The sequence below is a fragment of the Homo sapiens genome, chromosome 14 (assembly GCF_000001405.40).
Source record: "Homo sapiens chromosome 14, GRCh38.p14 Primary Assembly".
NCBI lineage: Eukaryota > Metazoa > Chordata > Mammalia > Primates > Hominidae > Homo > Homo sapiens.
Window position 1 is genome coordinate 29,438,728 of NC_000014.9, and position 18,040 is coordinate 29,456,767.

The following is an 18,040-nucleotide window of genomic DNA, read 5'->3' on the forward strand; positions in this document are numbered from 1 at the left end:
AGTAAGTTCCCAGTTAACAGAGAGTAGGAGGCGACATGGTGCTCTGAGAAAGATCAAGAAATGTAGGGAGAGCATCTAAGACAAAATTCAGGTTCCCATGGACCACTGTGCCTGGATTCCTAGAGCAAATTGCTTGTATGTTATGAAAGATCATTTTGATGCAGCAATTGACTTTCTGCTAAAGGTTGATAATGGCAAAGACTAGAGAAAGAATTACATTATACATAGAAAGCATGTATAAATAAATCAATAAATCATTTTGCATAATAAATCAATAAACAATTTTTCATTGTTTTTCTTGTGGAACCCTTTCCCCACAAAGACTAGCAGCATTTTATCTTTTCCTTTTAGGTATTTATTAAAGAAATTCCATGTGAATTTAAATAAATCATATATAGCTATTAGTGAAGGAATTAATTCCCTTTAAATAAACTATTTGTTCTTTTTAAAGGAAAACAAAAGATAGAGATATAGATGTAGAAATTCCTAACTCAAAAAAATTAAGCCAATTTTTTTTTTTTTGGTTCATTAGTGTTCCTCTTTTGTCAGCTTTCAGTATCTTTACACCTTCCGTAATGCTCAATTCTATTCATGTACACTCTATTGTTCTCCTTGTTTCAACTACTGGCAAAATCACAAAACAGAAGACAAAGGAAGTCATAATATTCTATCAGTTGAAATCGAAGGACCATGCATTTAGGAAAGATTCAAGTCTGCTTTTGCAAGATGATCCCAGAACACAAAAACATGATGAATACATCAAAAATATTTCTCACATACTGCCTGCCATAAAAAAGATTGTTTGAATTAAACATCATTATTGCTCTGCTGTCAACATGTTAATTTAGAGAGATAAGCCACACACACGCCTGAGTTCTATCATGATCTATAAATTACTGGTATATTTGCTATTGCTATCTTTTTAATATTTAACATTTTCCAGAGCACATTAACCGAGACCTTGGAACCTATTTTTGTCAGAGTTCGTTTTTCCTCAAATTGTTAGAGATGAATTCAGAGTGATCTTTTGAACCCCTCAAACATTTTAAAATTTATTGCTCATGCATGACAACATCTAGGACAAGGCTGTCGCTGAGATGGTATTTTGTCATATAAATGTAAACAAAACTAAGGAGTCTGCTTTTATTTCAAAGAGCTCATTGTGATTAAAAAAAAAGACCATCTTCATTTCATATAACTGTGTATTGATTTTTCAATAATTTGGAGTTAGCCTACCTGGTTTGTGGATTATAAAAATTTTAGAAACACAAAGGATGTCAAAGCTATCTTACTGAAAGCCTTGCTTTTTTTTCTGTGAGGAATCAGTGGTCACAAAGTTTAAACAGCTTGCCCAGGGTCACACAACCAAAAAATGGGCAAGAGGGACCTAGAGTCCACATTTCTGCTGCATTGTTAAGTCCCTGCTAATGTGTCTGACTTCTCATGTTATGGCCAGCTATGTTTACTGGAAATTTTACTGTAAAAAGAACTTAAGAAGAGCAAGAAATTCAACTTACGTGGAACCTTACTCTAGTTCCAGAAGAAGATAATAATTGTCTTGGGGAATAATCTATGATTTTGTTTATTGGCTTTCATTAAGTTCCTACTAGAGTTTTTGTACTTTAGAACTTCACTAACTTTTTTTTTTTTTGAGTCAGAGTCTCACTCTGTTGCCCAGGATGGAGTGCAGTGGCGCGATCTCGGCTCACTGCGACCTCCGCCTCCCAGGCTCAAGTGATTCTCCTGCCTCAGCCTCTCGAGTAGCTGGGACCACAGGCACGTGCCACCACGCCCAGCTAATTTTTTGTATTTCTAGTAGAGATGGGGTTTCACCGTGTTAGCCAGGCTGGTTTCGGTCTCCTGACCTCGTGATCCTCCTGCCTCAGCCTCCCAAAGTGCTGGCATTACAGGAGAGAACCTCACTAACTTCTCAGTGAACATGAATTGAAGAATTCAGACCATAGGCTTTCTAAATGTGTCAGAATAAGTGTGAAAATTAAAGGATCCAGGTATAAGGTGCAAAACAGGTTATGCTATTGACAATTACATGGTCAGAGCATCATGTTCCAGCTTGCAAATCAGTGTTTCAGTGTGCCATAAGATAGCAGGAAATAAAAATGTGATTCTATGATCTGGCATCCATCTGGAAGTTTTATCTGATAAAAAAATTAATTTCTGAGAGAATAATTAATATCCATTCTTTTCCACAAAGCTTGCTGTGCTAGCCAAGGTCTTCCCCATATATAAATACCTGAAATATCATGACTGAAATACAAAGACAATAAAATATAATAATATGATTGTTATGGGTAGCCAAATTTAAGTGTTTTGATTGAAACAAATTTAGGCACGTAGGGTAAATTATTTGGATAACCATTTTGCCAAGTGATAGAAATAAAAATTAATGGCCAAAGAGTAAATACTTCTGTTAAAAATGAAAATGAATCCTGAAATTTTAAAAATCCTGTATTTAAAGACAAATGGATTTCCTCATCCTAGGTATGAAGAGCAGAAAGGATGTGTTATTATGAACTCTCTAGATATTAGATATGAAGAAATGAAAATCTATTCAATACATATTGAGCAATTACTGTGTTCAAGACACTCTTCAAGGCAGTGGGCAGGTTTTTACCAGACGAGGAAACAGACAAAATCCCTGTTCTCAGGCAGGTTAACATTCTGCTGGTGGAAGACAGTACACACAAATGAAGAAATGCCTTGTATGATGTTCCTATTCTGTTGTTGTTGCTATTGTTGTTGTTGTTCTCCAAGTTTCAAGTTTCCACTTCTAAACCAAAGAGTTTGAGTCAAGTAAACAGTAAAAAAAGAAAATAATTCAACCTTTCTTTTTATATTTTACATCTTTTTCTCCAACAAGTTACCCAGTAATCATCTATAAAATTTTGATTCCATCTCTCTAAATATGAGTGCCTATTTAGGGATATGTTTTTCATTTGAACGGATCTATTTTACAATTACGTAAACTAACATGCATTGATAATCCATGAGCATGGCAGATCATGTTCCAGGCACTTCTGTAGGTAATAGGAATATACACCTCAAAAACTGTTGTGGAGTAAAGACAAATAATCAAAGAAAAATCATCTTTACTTCCTGAAAGCATCAACATACCTGTCCTGGGAAAACAGTAATAATGATAATTCCTAACTAATTTTAACAACTTCATTATTAATAACATATGCATTATGACCAATTCTTACAAAAACTTTACATGATATGCTATTTTTCCTATTTCATAGATGAGGAATTAGGTTGATTCAGGTTAAATATTTTCCAAGACTGCACAGGTGGTAAATAGCAAAATCGGGAATATTTCTTCAGCGTGCCTTATTCTAATACCTTCACTCCTTCTACCACCTTCTCTACCATACCTTACTGTCTCCAAGCATTTAAGTCCTTCTTTATATCTGCTCACATTCCAAGTAAATTGTAGAGATCGCTTTGTGTAGAGTGCTTTTATGGCACTGCCCCCACAAAATGTGAAAATGGAGACCCCAAAATGACTTGCCTCTTTGTGAAATGATGTGCCCTATTGTGTAGGAGTGTGCTTTACTCCTAAGAAACGAGATGCATGCAAATCATTTCCATGTTGTAGGCAGGCTTCTGAGCAATATGTAAATAAGCAAAAGAAAAAATATCCACATTAATAAACAGCCCCTCGGATATATGAAACCCATCTGCAACATTAGGTAAAGAGTTTGTATACTGTGTAGTCAGACGGGATGTCCATATTGCATTCCTCAGTGTCTGTAAGGGAAAACAGAATGATGGTTCAGGTAGGGCGGTGCCATATGGCTGAATCCATGAAAATATCACAGAGTTATTTTTTTTCAGCAACTGTGATCAGTCCATGTAAGCAAGGATCAAGTCTCTGCAAATAGAATTATGACACTCCAAGTTTCATCCTGTTTCCAAGGTCTCTTTCTCACACATCCTGCTGAGATTAACCTATAATATTTCTCTGCACGTGGATTGAGTTCTCCTAAAATAGGGGATGGCAACCAAAGGGAAATTGAAAGTAGAAGAGACACAAGCAACAGAAATGGCCCAAAGTGAGAATCACAGATTGACAATACAACATGTGCCAGTGAGTCCATGGCTGACATTATCAAGTAAGATGACTCAGAGGAAAAAAAAAAAAATCCACCAAAGGAACTGTTAACTCACACCAAACAGGAAATGACTGATTAAAGACAGAAAAGAAATGCAAAGCCAGGATCCAACTCCAGTCTGATATCTTTAGCTGTGCCCTGGTATGACCGAACAGTAACATGAAAAAGCACCTACACTTGCCTGATAGCTACTGCCACTCTCTTGGAGAAGTGGGATGATAGCAAGAAAATAACGGGCCTGCTGTCATTTATCTTTCTCTACAGTTTTTAAAAATTCCTTTCCTAATTTGATATTTAGGGTTCAGTTTTGTTATGATAACTAAAAAAATAAGAATTGAGGATGACAAGATACCAATAGAATTCATCAAATTTAGCTGTGAAGTTTTTCGGGGCTTCTGTTCACCTCGCCCTCGCTTATAATTCTCAAATTCTAGATGAAAGAGACTGCTTTTTTGCTGCCATTAGCATCTGCTTTGGGAAAAATGACTTTAAAGGCTTTAATAATATTTTTGCTAATTATATCACACAACCCAAGAAACTCAAATCAATTTTGGCTAGGTCCACATGCAAATTTCAACTTTGTCCCACAAGTGAATTTTACTTCTATTCAAAACATTAAGCATATTCACACTTAACAGCAGCACACAACTCCAGGTGTAAACTTTAAAATGTATTTTAATCAATATTCTTTTTGGAACCTCAAGCTAAGTCACCGCCTGCCGACTAAGACACAAAGAGAGAATGAATAGAGCTACAAACTCTGACGACCTCAGCCAGGGACAGCAAGCGGTTATGTACCAAAGTTCTCTTCAGAAGGCTTTCTTCAGAACAGTCCACTAAATTTCTCTCCCGATTCCCTCTGCTTTGCCTGTCATTCAAAACGCAAGCTTCACTAGCTTTTTATTCTCTACTGTGCTTTCACTTTCTTCATGCTTCGCTCTTCCTGCTCTCTGAATCATCTGCCAAATGAACTACCTCTATCTCCTTACCTGAAATCTGGCTCTCCCCTAAGAATAGCTCTTCTCATCCTTGTCTATGTCTTCTAGCTCTGCAGTTGGGGAAGAGAGATAGAGAGAATGATTAGTATTCCATTGTCCTGGTTTTCCTTTTCAGACCATTACCTTCTTAACTCCTCTCAAATCTGTTTTCCTTTCAGGCTTTTGCCCTCTGATATATGTTAACCCTCCTTGCTGTTGTAATGCTCATTATCTTAATTTCATTCTATTTAACTCCCAGCGGTTTCCCTCCATGTCTTTAGAACCTGGAAATGTGTCTTCCTCTTCACCCCAAGTTCAACCTTCATCCTAACCAGCTTCAATTTCCAAGCAAATCCCCAGCCTCACAGTGATTTGACTTTCTAAATTTATTGGTTTTGACTCCTTTACTTTAATCCTCCCCTACAAGGTTTTTCATCTCCTGAAAACTTTCAACCTTTAAACTATGAAAACCCATTATCCCCTTATCTGACCACAGCCTGCCGTGTATCTGTCCAGCTCATTCATTGTTTTATTCCCACTATGTTTAGACATCCTCAACCTCCCCGTCCTACCTCCCCTGGATGTTCTGCAAGTCTTCAACCCTTTGCTATTATCACTGGGCAGTGATGGAGAAAATGTAACATATTTGCCCATGTTTGCCTACTAGAAATTTATAGTCTGGAGTTTATCAACACTGCCTGACACTTCTTCCCATAGTTAGCTTCTTCTCTTCAGCTGCTTCTTCAAAGCTTGACTACTCTCCTCATTCTCTTCAGAATTACCTAGTGACATTACCTCTTTCCTCAGGAAGATCAGGCAAAACGGTCTATGAAGAAGAAATTGTTGGACTTCCTACTTTCCCTACAGTTGCTTGTTCCCTTTGATTGTTGCATAGAGATCCAAAGTTTCCATGTGTCCAGTGGGACGGGAAGATTTGCTGAGAGATAGAGCCAGCGGTCAGTTGAGGAATCCTAGGGCTGGGATGATGGGACACAGAGTTGGTTACTGTTCCAACCAGAAACCTGAGAACAACAAAGCTGCATCTCAGAAAAATCAGCTGGGCCAAACATCTAAGCAGCGTTCCATTCAAACTTCAGACATGTCATCACTGAAGAAACACTGTGTGCCATTAGTGCCAAAGGAGAGTCTTGATAAATCACATCTGGGGAAATTGCCAGTGCAGAACCAACTCAGAGCCAGATCAGACCCTGGTGACAGTTGCATAAGCACCCTGGAACTAAGAACTGGCCCCAGATAAGATACAGTAAGAGAGGCCCAGAACAGAAAATTTAAACCTCCACATGGTGGCATTTTTAAATAGCATTAACTAAGTTTAAAGTTACTTTATTGGACTGATTTAACCTAAAATTGACTATTAGATAAGATTTTCTGTTGTCAATTGGAAATGGGGGTTTACAATAGAGGTGCCGTTGTTGAATTATGAGAAAATAAAGTTATAACTTGTATGCATAAATATATGTCATGTTAATTAAAAAACTTATAGAACTACCTGTGTCCAAATGTGTAACACATATATCATTTAGCAAACAAATCTCACTTCTAAAAATATTTCCTGAGAAAAAGATAATCAACTATACAAAAAGAGATGTGTGTGTTAGGTTGTTCTTCACAGCATCATTTATAATAAGAAAAACATGAGGAAAAACAAGATATCTATGAAAGATGAGTTATTTATTGGACCATAATTCATATATGCAACAATATGCAAAGCAGTAATTAAAAATAATGATGTAGATCTATATATTTAAGTCCATAGAAAGATGTCACCACATAACACTGGTGGAAAACGGGGGTGAAATTACGATTCCTTCTCATGTATGAAGCAGTCCACAATATCCAATTGGTCCCAATCTAGGATTAATTCTTTGTTGTGGCCAAGATATATTTATCAGCATCCTTCCTAACAGTGTCACTGTGACCTTATCAGATAATCCCGCATTTCTTCACATTTACCAGCAGCAAGAATTCATCCTGCCAGAAATAGAGCAAGGGATGAAAAAACCACTTGGTCTGAAAGGACATTTTTCAACACCTAAGATGGCCCTACCTATAGTCACACAATCCAAGATCATGATTCTCACAGTCCATCCTTGACCGGTGATATCCCTGTGGGTTTTTTGGGGGTTGTTTTTTTTTTTTGACATGTTTCCTTTCCATTTTAAATACTCCACTTGGATGGTCTTACTCACAATATGTTTTAAGTAGACATACCCAGAAATAGACCCGAGATGAGAATTTGCGTTCCAGTGATTCATTAGAGAAGTTCTCCCCAAGGAGACTAGTAAGCGAATGCAGAAGCAGGACAAGCAATGGGAAAAAATTAAGCAAAGGTACAATTTTGGGTAAAGTCCTGGAGGGCAAATTACAACTCACACTTTGCCCCTGACAAGAGGCAAGAGAGCTGATCTCATACTCCTGTACTGGTTGGTCCTTGTCTAACGTCTGCTTCTAGGATTGGAATAACCAGATGCTTTCAGCTCTCTGAACCTGCAGATGAAGCAGCCACCATACCCAAGGGCAACCCCCCACACCAGTAGATACAAAACTATGAGGGAGTGGGGTGGAGGAGCTGGATAGAAAGCAAAGGGCAAAAGGGATCCCAAGGGATTTGTGTTAAAAATATCAATGCCCTCTATAATCCCCACAACTTCAACCAGCATGACAAATTCCAAACTTGTATCATTACCACAGACCTTGCCCTTGAACTCCAGACTCACACACCTAAATGCCTTTTGGACTTCCTCATCTACAGGCTCCCCAAACACACCCTGTCCAAAACTGAGCTCTCTTCCCTATCCTCGTGTACTTTTCTCAATGAATGTCCCCTTTGTACCCGCTATGGCCAATCCAGAAAACTCAATTCACCTTGCCAGACACCTAATCTTTTAATTCACCAAGTCCTTTTAATTTTGCCTATTTAATATGCCTTTATTCTATCCCTGACTCTTATACCTCAGTTCTGGAGTCATACCTCTTCACTGTCTCTTTGTCACAGTTTGTGCACCCCCATATTCATCTTCTATCATGCTACTCTAGATTAGCCCTCTCAAATTTACATTTTATCATAGCACTGCCCTGCTTAAAACTTTTCAATGGCTTCTCATTTTGCAGGTTACAAAACTAAGTACTTGGCATTTCGGTTTACATCATCCTGTCCTAACTCCCATCTACTTTTCTAATACAATCTTCTACCTTTAAAATTCTAAATTCAAAACACCATTAACTATTGGCAGCTCCGAAAGTTGTCTTGTTCACTTATGCTTGAGGCGATCCATGAGCACTTTGTTCCCACATTAGCTCTTCTGAAAGATTTCCTTGGCATTCCTTTCCGCTTAGGCTGATTAAATTCCTTTTTTAATCCCTGTAGTAGCCTGTGCACACCCTCATGGTACTATCTATTTACGTACAGATTATATCCAATTAGATCTTGAGGGAAACAAAATATCTTGTTCATCCTCTGCCTACCTAATATATTGCCTGATGCTATTTTCTAACTCTCATCATTGTGTCCTAATTCTGGCTCCTTATGCATGATCAGGCAGTATATTGCTATATTAGATACCAGTAGTACAAAGATAATAAGGCTGGTGCTGCTCTGCTTACAGTCTAATAGGGAGGATTTTCAGCTATGATATAATTCTAACACTGAACCAGGAGTACACACTAAGTGCCATGAGTTCCAAAAAGGGACATTTAGGCTAATTTACGGGTTTAGGGAAAGCTTGCTTTAGAAAATGACATCTAAGCAGAATTTCAAAGGACAGATAAAGGTTATCCAGGCAAAGAAATGTGATTCCTCCAGATGTTTCCATTTCTACTTTAAGTCAGCATTATTATCAATCAACTGTGTCTTGTCCTTAAATGTCACCAAAGAAACAACCAGCAAAGTTGGGACAGGGACAGTAAAATAATAAAATAATAGACCTGACTCACCAGATGTCAAGGTGATTTTGTCACTTCAGTTGCATTGTTTCTAGGTCTCAGTGAAGTTAAGCAACAGCAAGCAGGCTTAAGAATATATTTAATAGGCTCTTCTTAATATAAACATCTTCGGGAATGAACCTTATTCCCATCCATCCTAGATTTTTCTGGGATTAAGTGGATAGAAAGCAAACTTTATATAAGTGATTTTCCATTGCCTTTTGAAAGGCATCACCAGAGTTCAAAATGTTTGCAAGGTTTTTTAAAACATTATTGCAATGGGGTAAATTTTTATTATTATATATGGAAGCTAATCATTTCAGAGTAAACAACAGATGTTTGCACCCTTATTACTGTTTGGTACTGACATCAGTATTAAATGATAATATGAAAACATGTCACAGACGTGAATGATTAATTCAAATGTCAAGAATGGTGGAAAAGAAATGTTTAAAATAGAAAATTTCGGGGTCTTGCATGAGAATTAAACTATGAGCACCTTCTTCGGGCAATGTGCAATACTACTTTTCCACAGCATAACAATAATCTGGAAAATTCCCAGGCACATTTTTCTCCAAAAGTTGTTACTGAAGTATAGATGTCTAAGATATTCATTTAATTGAATAAGTAATGGCACCTGGCAAAGAATCCAGTTGTATCAAAAATAGTAAACTTATTAGATATTATGAATATAGTTAGATAAATAGATGGACAGATAGATGTTTTTATGCTATGTACCATATTTTCTGGACATTATTTGAGATGTTTCTAGAAACTGAAATTTCCATATTTAGGTATTAATCAATTTACCTTACAGTTACAAATGATATTGTTAATTTAAATTATCATCATCATTCAATGCTTTCAGAGACAGAACCTGATTATGGTAAGATATATGCGTATTGAAATGGGTTAGTTTTCACCAGGAAAGGTTACAACTAGTTTTTTTGTTTGTGTAATTACAAAACATTTGGTGTTTTTCACTAAATTAAATGTTCTATGTCTTTTCCCCATCACCAGCTAAAAACCATTAAGATAGATGAAATGGGGCAGCTTTACCACTAGAGCAGGAATTCTGTCCCCTCTGACTGGAACACAGGCTCTGTGAAAGTAGACATCTTGTCTTTCTCATTGATGTATCAGTGACTATGCTGAGGCTCACATAGGAAGATATATCATATACGTTTCTTGAACGAATTAGTGAATGAATAAATGAACGAATTACACTAATTAAATTCAGAAGTTTTAGATTTTCTTTAAAACAATATCATCTTGAGTACAGTTTTAAAATTGTCAAGAGATCAGAAGTAAGTTATATTTCATAAATGTTATGATTGCCTATAATAAAATTTGAAAAGAAGAATGGTGTTCATAAAGGGGTCTAAAAAGTAAGATGAGCTCACATTCGCTTTTGTTCTCCGGCCAATATTCTGTATTTCTAACAGCTGTCCATGATTCTGGTGTTGCTAGCCCAGGGACCATGCTCTGAGTAGCAATAACAGGTTCTCTATGTGTGAAAAACTGGCATTGGTTACAGCCTCCTGCTGACCACGAAAGAAAGCCAGGTAGGCAGCTGACTCCATCTTCTCTTCCACCACCATTCATTGTTGAGCCAGAGTTCTTTAAAGTAGCTATGTGAAGCCAGAATTATTTATTTCCTAAGACAATAGGGAATACGAGATGACTTAACTTTTCAGTGTAGAGAAATTGTTGCTGCTTGATGGAACAGTGTGACTCTTACCTAGAAAAATGAGGCCAACATCTAAGATGGCTTCTCCTGCGTGTGCCAGTTAATTTCCGTTTTTTTTTTTTCTACAGATTTTGGACTCTACCCTTAACCTAAAAATACATGCCCTTAGGCCATTAACGAAACCGCATGAAAGAAAGTGACTGAATAATTCCACTTCTATGTCTAACACACTTGTGAATAACATGGTCCCTAGAAAGAGCACAGGTTTGAATCTCAGTCTGAACTCTTACAAGCTGTGTGACCTTGGGTAATTACATAACTGTTGCACCTGTATGTCACCTATGAATAAGCGATATAGGTACAGTTCCCACTTAAAAAGATGGTTGTGAGAAGAGTTGGTGATCAGTGCACGAGACCTATTTGTGGTAGATCAGAATATAATATGATAATCATCACTCAACCATGAAGGGCCTCGTAGAGGGAGGGGAAAACCTTCCTCCCTCCCCACCTCTCCCATTGGCTAGTGTAGAATCATGAGGCTGAATCTGAGACTATTAAAACTAAAATAAGGACACCTATCACTTGTAGGAAATGAGGGAAAAGAACTAAAATATATTATTTCCCTACTGTATGGCATGCACTTACCATATGTCTCGTAATGTAATCTTTACAATAAATCTAAACAAATCAGTATTATTTTCCTAATTTCACACACAAGAATATGAGGCTTTGAGACGTCCAGGAACTTGCCAGGTTTGCAGTGCTGGTAAGTGGTGAAGCTGGGGCTCAAACCCAAGTCTGAGTCCACAGTTCACATTGCGTCAGTGGTGCCCTGGAGTAGCTCAGAGTCAGGGACCTCTTTTATAGGGCCCTGCCTACCCACCCACTGTCTCAGCTACTGGACTAAGACACTCCTGGCAACGATGTGAACAGAACAAATCCCCATCACCTCTCTACGGCACAGCTCCAAAAAAAGTTTGAGTAACAAGAGCTTCTTGAGATGAGATAATAATTACCTAACCCAGTGCTTCTCTAAAGGTAACGTGCCCACCTATCACTTGGGAGGGCTTGTAAAAGGGCAGATTCTAGTTCAGGAGAGCTGGAATGGCACACAACATTCTGTTTTTTGTTTTTGTTTTTTGTTTTTCTTGAGACGGAGTCTCGCTCTGTCGCCCAGGCAGGAGTGCAGTGGCGCGATCTCGGCTCACTGCAAGCTCCGCCTCCCGGGTTCAAGCCATTCTCCTGCCTCAGTCTCCCTAGTAGCTGGGACTACAGGCACCCACCACCACGCCCAGCTAATTTTTTGTATTTTTAGTAGAGACAGGGTTTCACCATGCTAGCCAGGATGGTCTCGATCTCCTAACCTCATGATCCGCCCTCCTCGGCCTCCCAAAGTGCTGGGATTACAGGCGTGAGCCACTGCGCCCGGCCAATCGTCTGTATTTCTAACAGCTGTCCATGATTCTGGTGTTGCTAGCCCGGGGACCATGCTCTGAGTAGAAATAACAGGTTCTCTATGTGTGAAAAACAGAAATCAGTTTTATTCAGTGCATGTTTGTAGTGGCATGCAGTGGTTTGATCTAATGATGTGTTTTGTTTTGTTTTTTTGTTTTTGTTTTTGTTTAAGTAGCAGGGATCCACATCCTTCTCATATAAGTTTACATTTCTAAAACAACAGATTTATTTAATTGGTGCAACAGGGTCACTCACCAGTAGGAAATGAAACGAAAGAGCTTATAAAAATATGAGTAAGATGAAAAGGTAAATTAGGATTTATTAAGATATAAATATGGGCACCTAAATACTTTAGTCCCTTCAAAAGAAAATTCATTGGTCTTATTAATATCACTCTTTCAACTACAGTATCTGACTCAGACATTCTCTTATAGAAAGCCATACTGTGGAGTGAGGAATAGGAAGTTATATGTAGGTTTTAAAAAATAAAACCTTCCTCTCTAGTCCCCAAACAGCTACATAATAAAACAGTCTAGGCTACTTGAAAAAATGTGCATGTGGAAGGGGGAAAAAAAGGCACAAAATAAATAAAATTAGAATAGGGAAAGAAAGAGAAAATAAGTACACAGAACAAATGAGATTTTCAACTCAGTAGCAAAACTAAAAGATTTATCTGACAGCTTTTAAGGGCATATTTACTCCCCACTCCTCTTGTTTCCTAAGAAGAGAAGAGAAGTATCCTCTTACTTTATTTATTTGTTGATTGATTTATTTATTCTTATTTCTTAGAAGGACAAACGTCCAAGAGGACCCATATCGCCTTCATTCTCGGGTCCCAGTGGAGGGAGAGCAACTTCTGTACAGGTGCTTTTAGGAGGAAGACAGTTCTGCATTTTTCTCCTTCAGATCTGTCTGCCAATGGGGAGAATAAGTCTAGGTTCACTCTCCTATAGTCAAGAGGCTCCAGCCCTGCTAGGGGTGTTTGCAGGTATGGGACTTTGCCTGTGGCTATGTGGGAGGTTTGTTTATAGAGTTATGTTTTTAGTGGTTTACCTGTTAGTCAAGTCCTATTTTCCACCATTTACCGGTAATACAGCTGACATTTTGAGTTTCATTCTGCTTCCTCTACTACATATCTTTTAATTGATCCTAAACTTAGGAGGAAAAAAAGGGTGTTATTTATTGGCTTTCTCTAAGTCCCTGAGCACAGCCAACTGGGATGGGAAAGCTTGGTAAAGACGGATTCAATATGATTTGGAAGAAGAGGCAGCAATTGCTGGCATATTTGGAACATGTAAAATAAATCCTGCTTTTACTATTGAATGACTCATTAGATTGGTTAATTAGTTGATTTTTTTTTTCCCCAAAAAGCTTTGTGTGCTTTTAAGAGGAATTTTCTAATCCTTTTAGCAACTTTGCTTTGGAGAATACAGAAGTGTTGTAGAAAAAAATGCTAAAATTAAAGTTTTGATTTCTGGTAGTACAGCTGACCTATCCCATGGTCTCTGGCAAAAGCTATGTAAACAGCGAAAAGCAAAATATATTGTTGATTGTGTTAACATCCTTCTGACTCAATTTTATAATCTGCATGTATATAGACTCTTGAGATTCTTGGAAGAGAGAAGCTTAAAGAGTTCTATATATCCTATTCCAAATGCATTAGTTTTGGGACTATAAATTATAGCTATTAAATTTCTTACCACTTTTCTTTTGATAGGAAATACCCTTCCGTTGCATGTATTCTATTCATAACATATTCTGATATTCATCTGCTCTTCTTTCCATTAAAATTTTATTCAAATTACATGGCTACATCATTATTTACATCCTGGTATTTAAACATCTTTCCTGGTGAATATTTTCCCTTTTTATTGTTTAAACAAGGTAACAAGCAGATGAATTTAAATTCAAGCTGAAGATGACTTTTATAGACATGTTTTTATTCTACGGAATGCCATATGCAACTCAAGCCAAATATAACCCTCAAAATGTAAAATTCGAAATATAGGTGGGGAAAATGTTTATTCTCAACTAAGATTTTTTTCACCTTTGTACAAAGTCAAGTATCGTATTTTTGACATTTTCTGCATGGAAAATAAGAGATGAATTTCACATTTTAAATTATGATTCTCCCTTCCTATCCCAGCAGCTACTTTCATGATCATTTCTGCAAAGCACACCAAGCTTGAAGGACAATCTTTAAAATGGCAGTTTATTTGCTGATTTCAGTTTCAGAATTAAGATAAAATTGTGAAAACAAATACCTGAAATCTGCAAGTTGAAACTTGCCCATTGACAAATAACATGCATGTCTCCATTGTCAACAATGTGTTTAAAAGAGAAAGGCTTAATGATTTCTCATTTTAGCAACCCAGATGTTTGTTGTCAGCTCATCCTACTATTATTAATAGGAATCTAACTGATACTAATTCTTCAACAACTAGGTTAGCACTTTCTCACTGATTAACTTCTTCTCTATGGTTGCCACATTTAACTGTTTTTTATAATCCCTCCAGTTAAATTCTACATGAACTTCTCATCTGTAAGGACAAGCTGTAATGATAGCAACTTTGTTTAGAAATACATTTTACCAAGCCTAAATGCTATTGAAGTCTCATCAGCTAGCAAAGGACAAACCACACTTCATTTTTTTAGATAGCTCACATTGTTTTCCATAATGCAATGACTAGAGCTTGGGATGTTTAAATGGTACTTCACAGTGCAGACGTGGTCTAAATTTCTTCGTGATTATACATATGCTATTCTATAGTGTGCACTAATCTCTCCTGCCTTGGATGTTTTAACAAAATGGCTGAAATTTTCAGCCATTATGGATGAGTTATTCAGCAAATCTGTTAAAGCAATTCCACTTGACAAGCCTATAGTACTACTTTAAGTGATTGAATCTCTTTGATTCCACAATGGCAAGGTCCTTATTATTCTTGCAGGAATTTTACAAGTTCTAAGAATATTTCCAAAATGCCACTGGCCACATTGCCAAAGAGAGACAGGCAATTCACTCAGAGCTATACTAATTTGATTTAGTGAATCTAGTTAAAGCAATGATTTCTTTTAGGAGGAAAAAAAAGCTATATTTTGTACTTTATATTCAAATGCATTGACCTTTTTTTAGATTTGGTGTCTTAAAGTTCTATCCCATAACATGGCTTTCTTCTCTTGCTTAAATTTATTTTCTAGTAAATGAATAGAAGCCACAAAATTGATGAAGTCATGAAACTTACTTATCTGAAACACTGAACTGTATACATCCCTTAAAGGCAAAGGGATGTTTTTTGCCCCGAGGGTATTAGTCATGGTCCATAGTTCGTGGGAAAAACTAAGGAAGTCTCAAAATTGTGTTCCTATTATTTCCATTTCTCTAAGACTTTGTTTGAATTCCAAAGTGAATTTTCTATTATCCCATTGTACATTGCATAGGAGGGTACCAACCAACAGCCTTTGGGGAGCAACACCTGCAGTTACATTCAAAGGCATGACTTTTCCAAGCAGTTTGTGAGCTGGCCGGCATTGTCCCCAAAAGGATAAAGGCCTAGGTTCTTTACCTGACTGGCAGAAGCATTCCAGCACCACGAAAGGACTCTAAACATTGTTTTGTAAGTAATGAGTCCTGCTGGTTTCATCCTGCAAGACATTGAAATCCCACAGGGAAAATGTGGTTAGAAATAAAACAGAGGGCTGGGGCCTTTAATGAGTTTCCTATCCACAGATGCCATCAAGCTTTGATACTATTCATTTTATTTCTACAGCTTCAACAAAGATTCCCAGAGTCGTGGGCCATACTCTTAACACTGAAGTGCATAGAACTTGGCAGAAATCTACACTTCAGAGATAATAACATATCATTCCATGAAATAAAGGAAAAGGCATAATCAAAAAAAGAAGTTAAATATGGAAACCTGTTTTGACAACAAATGAATGCAGTTGAAGCCAGACAGGAAAGGTGCTATGTATGCATTTTTTTACATGTTTCACATAAATTATGATATTGCAAGACCCTATCAGGTTTTTTTTTCTTATTTTCATGTCCTTTCAGTCAGATGTATTATTTATATTGCTCTCCATCTTACATTAAAGGAAAATTTCAAAGACTGCTGCTTTAAAATAACAGAACAACACTTGTAAAATCTGTCAACATTATATATGGCTCATTCACCAGTTGCATTTCATTCATTATTATAGTTGGGAATTTCTCAAGGCCACTTGGATGTCCAATGAAATAAATTTAGAATTTCTGAATGTTGAGAAAAGGAAAAGAGAAAACAGTGTTGGTACTTAGTAGACGGATTATGGACATCACCAGCAGAAACATATATTCAACAATCATATTTAGTTAATAAATATATTTACTGAGTTATAAAAAGTTTCCTTAAAATGTACACTAGGTGAAATATCAAGTTTCATCAAATGATTAATTAAATGTTATATAAGGAACATGTCCTGAATTTGTGGTTACTAAAATAAAAATAAAACATGTTTTTCCAATCTTATAAAGCTAGCCCTGACTTTATTTTTTACTTACAAAATATTTTGATTTATACTTAATAGGAGATTTAGAAAAGAGCCAGCCAAGAATTGTGGAAAAATTATACTATGAAAATTTATCTTTCCAGAGATATATTTACTTTAAAAAATATTTATGTTGCATTTTGATACTTTAATATTGACCCTTGACTCAGTTTTTCAAATTGACTTGTGGTAAACTAAAAGTTTCTGAATGTCTTGGATTCTACAATCCTACCTAGAAAATAATTGCTTAGCTAAATTGAAGATAAATCTAATAAATAAGCTTGTTAATTATTATTACTTTAAAAATAATGCTGAGACAAGCTAGTAGAAATTATCAAAATATTTTTGCCATTTCAAACTTTTCTCTTACAATGGAAATGAAAAAGGAGGTCATAATTCAGGAGCCCTATAGAAACTTTTTTAAAAGTAGATATGTAAGAGATGTAAGTTGAGGGACATGCAGGAATAGATTATTGAAGTAATTCAAGCATATTAATTAAAAATAAAAGAAAACCTTTTCAGAAACAATTACTGAAGAACTTCATAACATCTATATCCCCAACCTGAACCATGTGTTTCAAATTCTTTAATCAATAACAGTATATTTTTCATTGTCTGATTTTTGTAACAAACAGGCCAATATGTTGGAAAAATTTGTTTTACATTCCTACAAAAGCCCAAAGTTATGGCTGTCTCTTCCTGTATTGCCACCATCACCTAACACATGTCTTTTCTTCATTCTGTGGGTCATAATAACAGCTTTCACTCTTTGAGCACCTACTATGTGCCAGACTGTTTCACACGCATTTCCAATACAATAACTTTCTGCAAAACAGAGTACTAGTCTCATTTTATGAACAAAACGTAGAAAGTTTATGTGAGGAAAATTTCACATGGTCACACCACCTGAAAGAAGTTGACCCAGGATATAAACCAAGTCTTTTTCACTCAAAAGCCCATGATCCTCATAGAAAACATTCTATATTATGCATTTTATTCTTTTTCCGTCTTTGGTTTATCTTGTGTTTATATCTCTATTCTATTAACTATATTTTTCTGATGATTTGACTGGCAAACTTAGTCAAAATGATCAAGTGAGTTAGTACCTGCTGATCCAACCTTGAATAAATTAGGGAATGCATCAATTGAAAAGACTAGTTTTCCTTAAGTAAATTTTCTGAACCTGGCAGAAATAATTTTAAATATAGTTCAATAATTTTAAATTAGTTGAACTATATTTAACACATAATATTGCTTGAACCAACTTCAATACCAAAAATCAGCATGGTGTATCAAACATGAAAACTGGAAAGAAT

At 36.5% G+C, this 18,040-nt stretch overlaps 1 annotated feature.

The window, feature by feature from the left end:
* Window positions 15,544-16,100: an enhancer, noted in NCBI's record as "OCT4-NANOG hESC enhancer chr14:29923477-29924033 (GRCh37/hg19 assembly coordinates)". NCBI's record gives its function as "activates a minimal SCP1, AML or CMV promoter by ChIP-STARR-seq in primed H9 embryonic stem cells {active_cell/tissue: H9 hESC(primed)}" and the evidence as "EXISTENCE:reporter gene assay evidence [ECO:0000049][PMID:30033119]".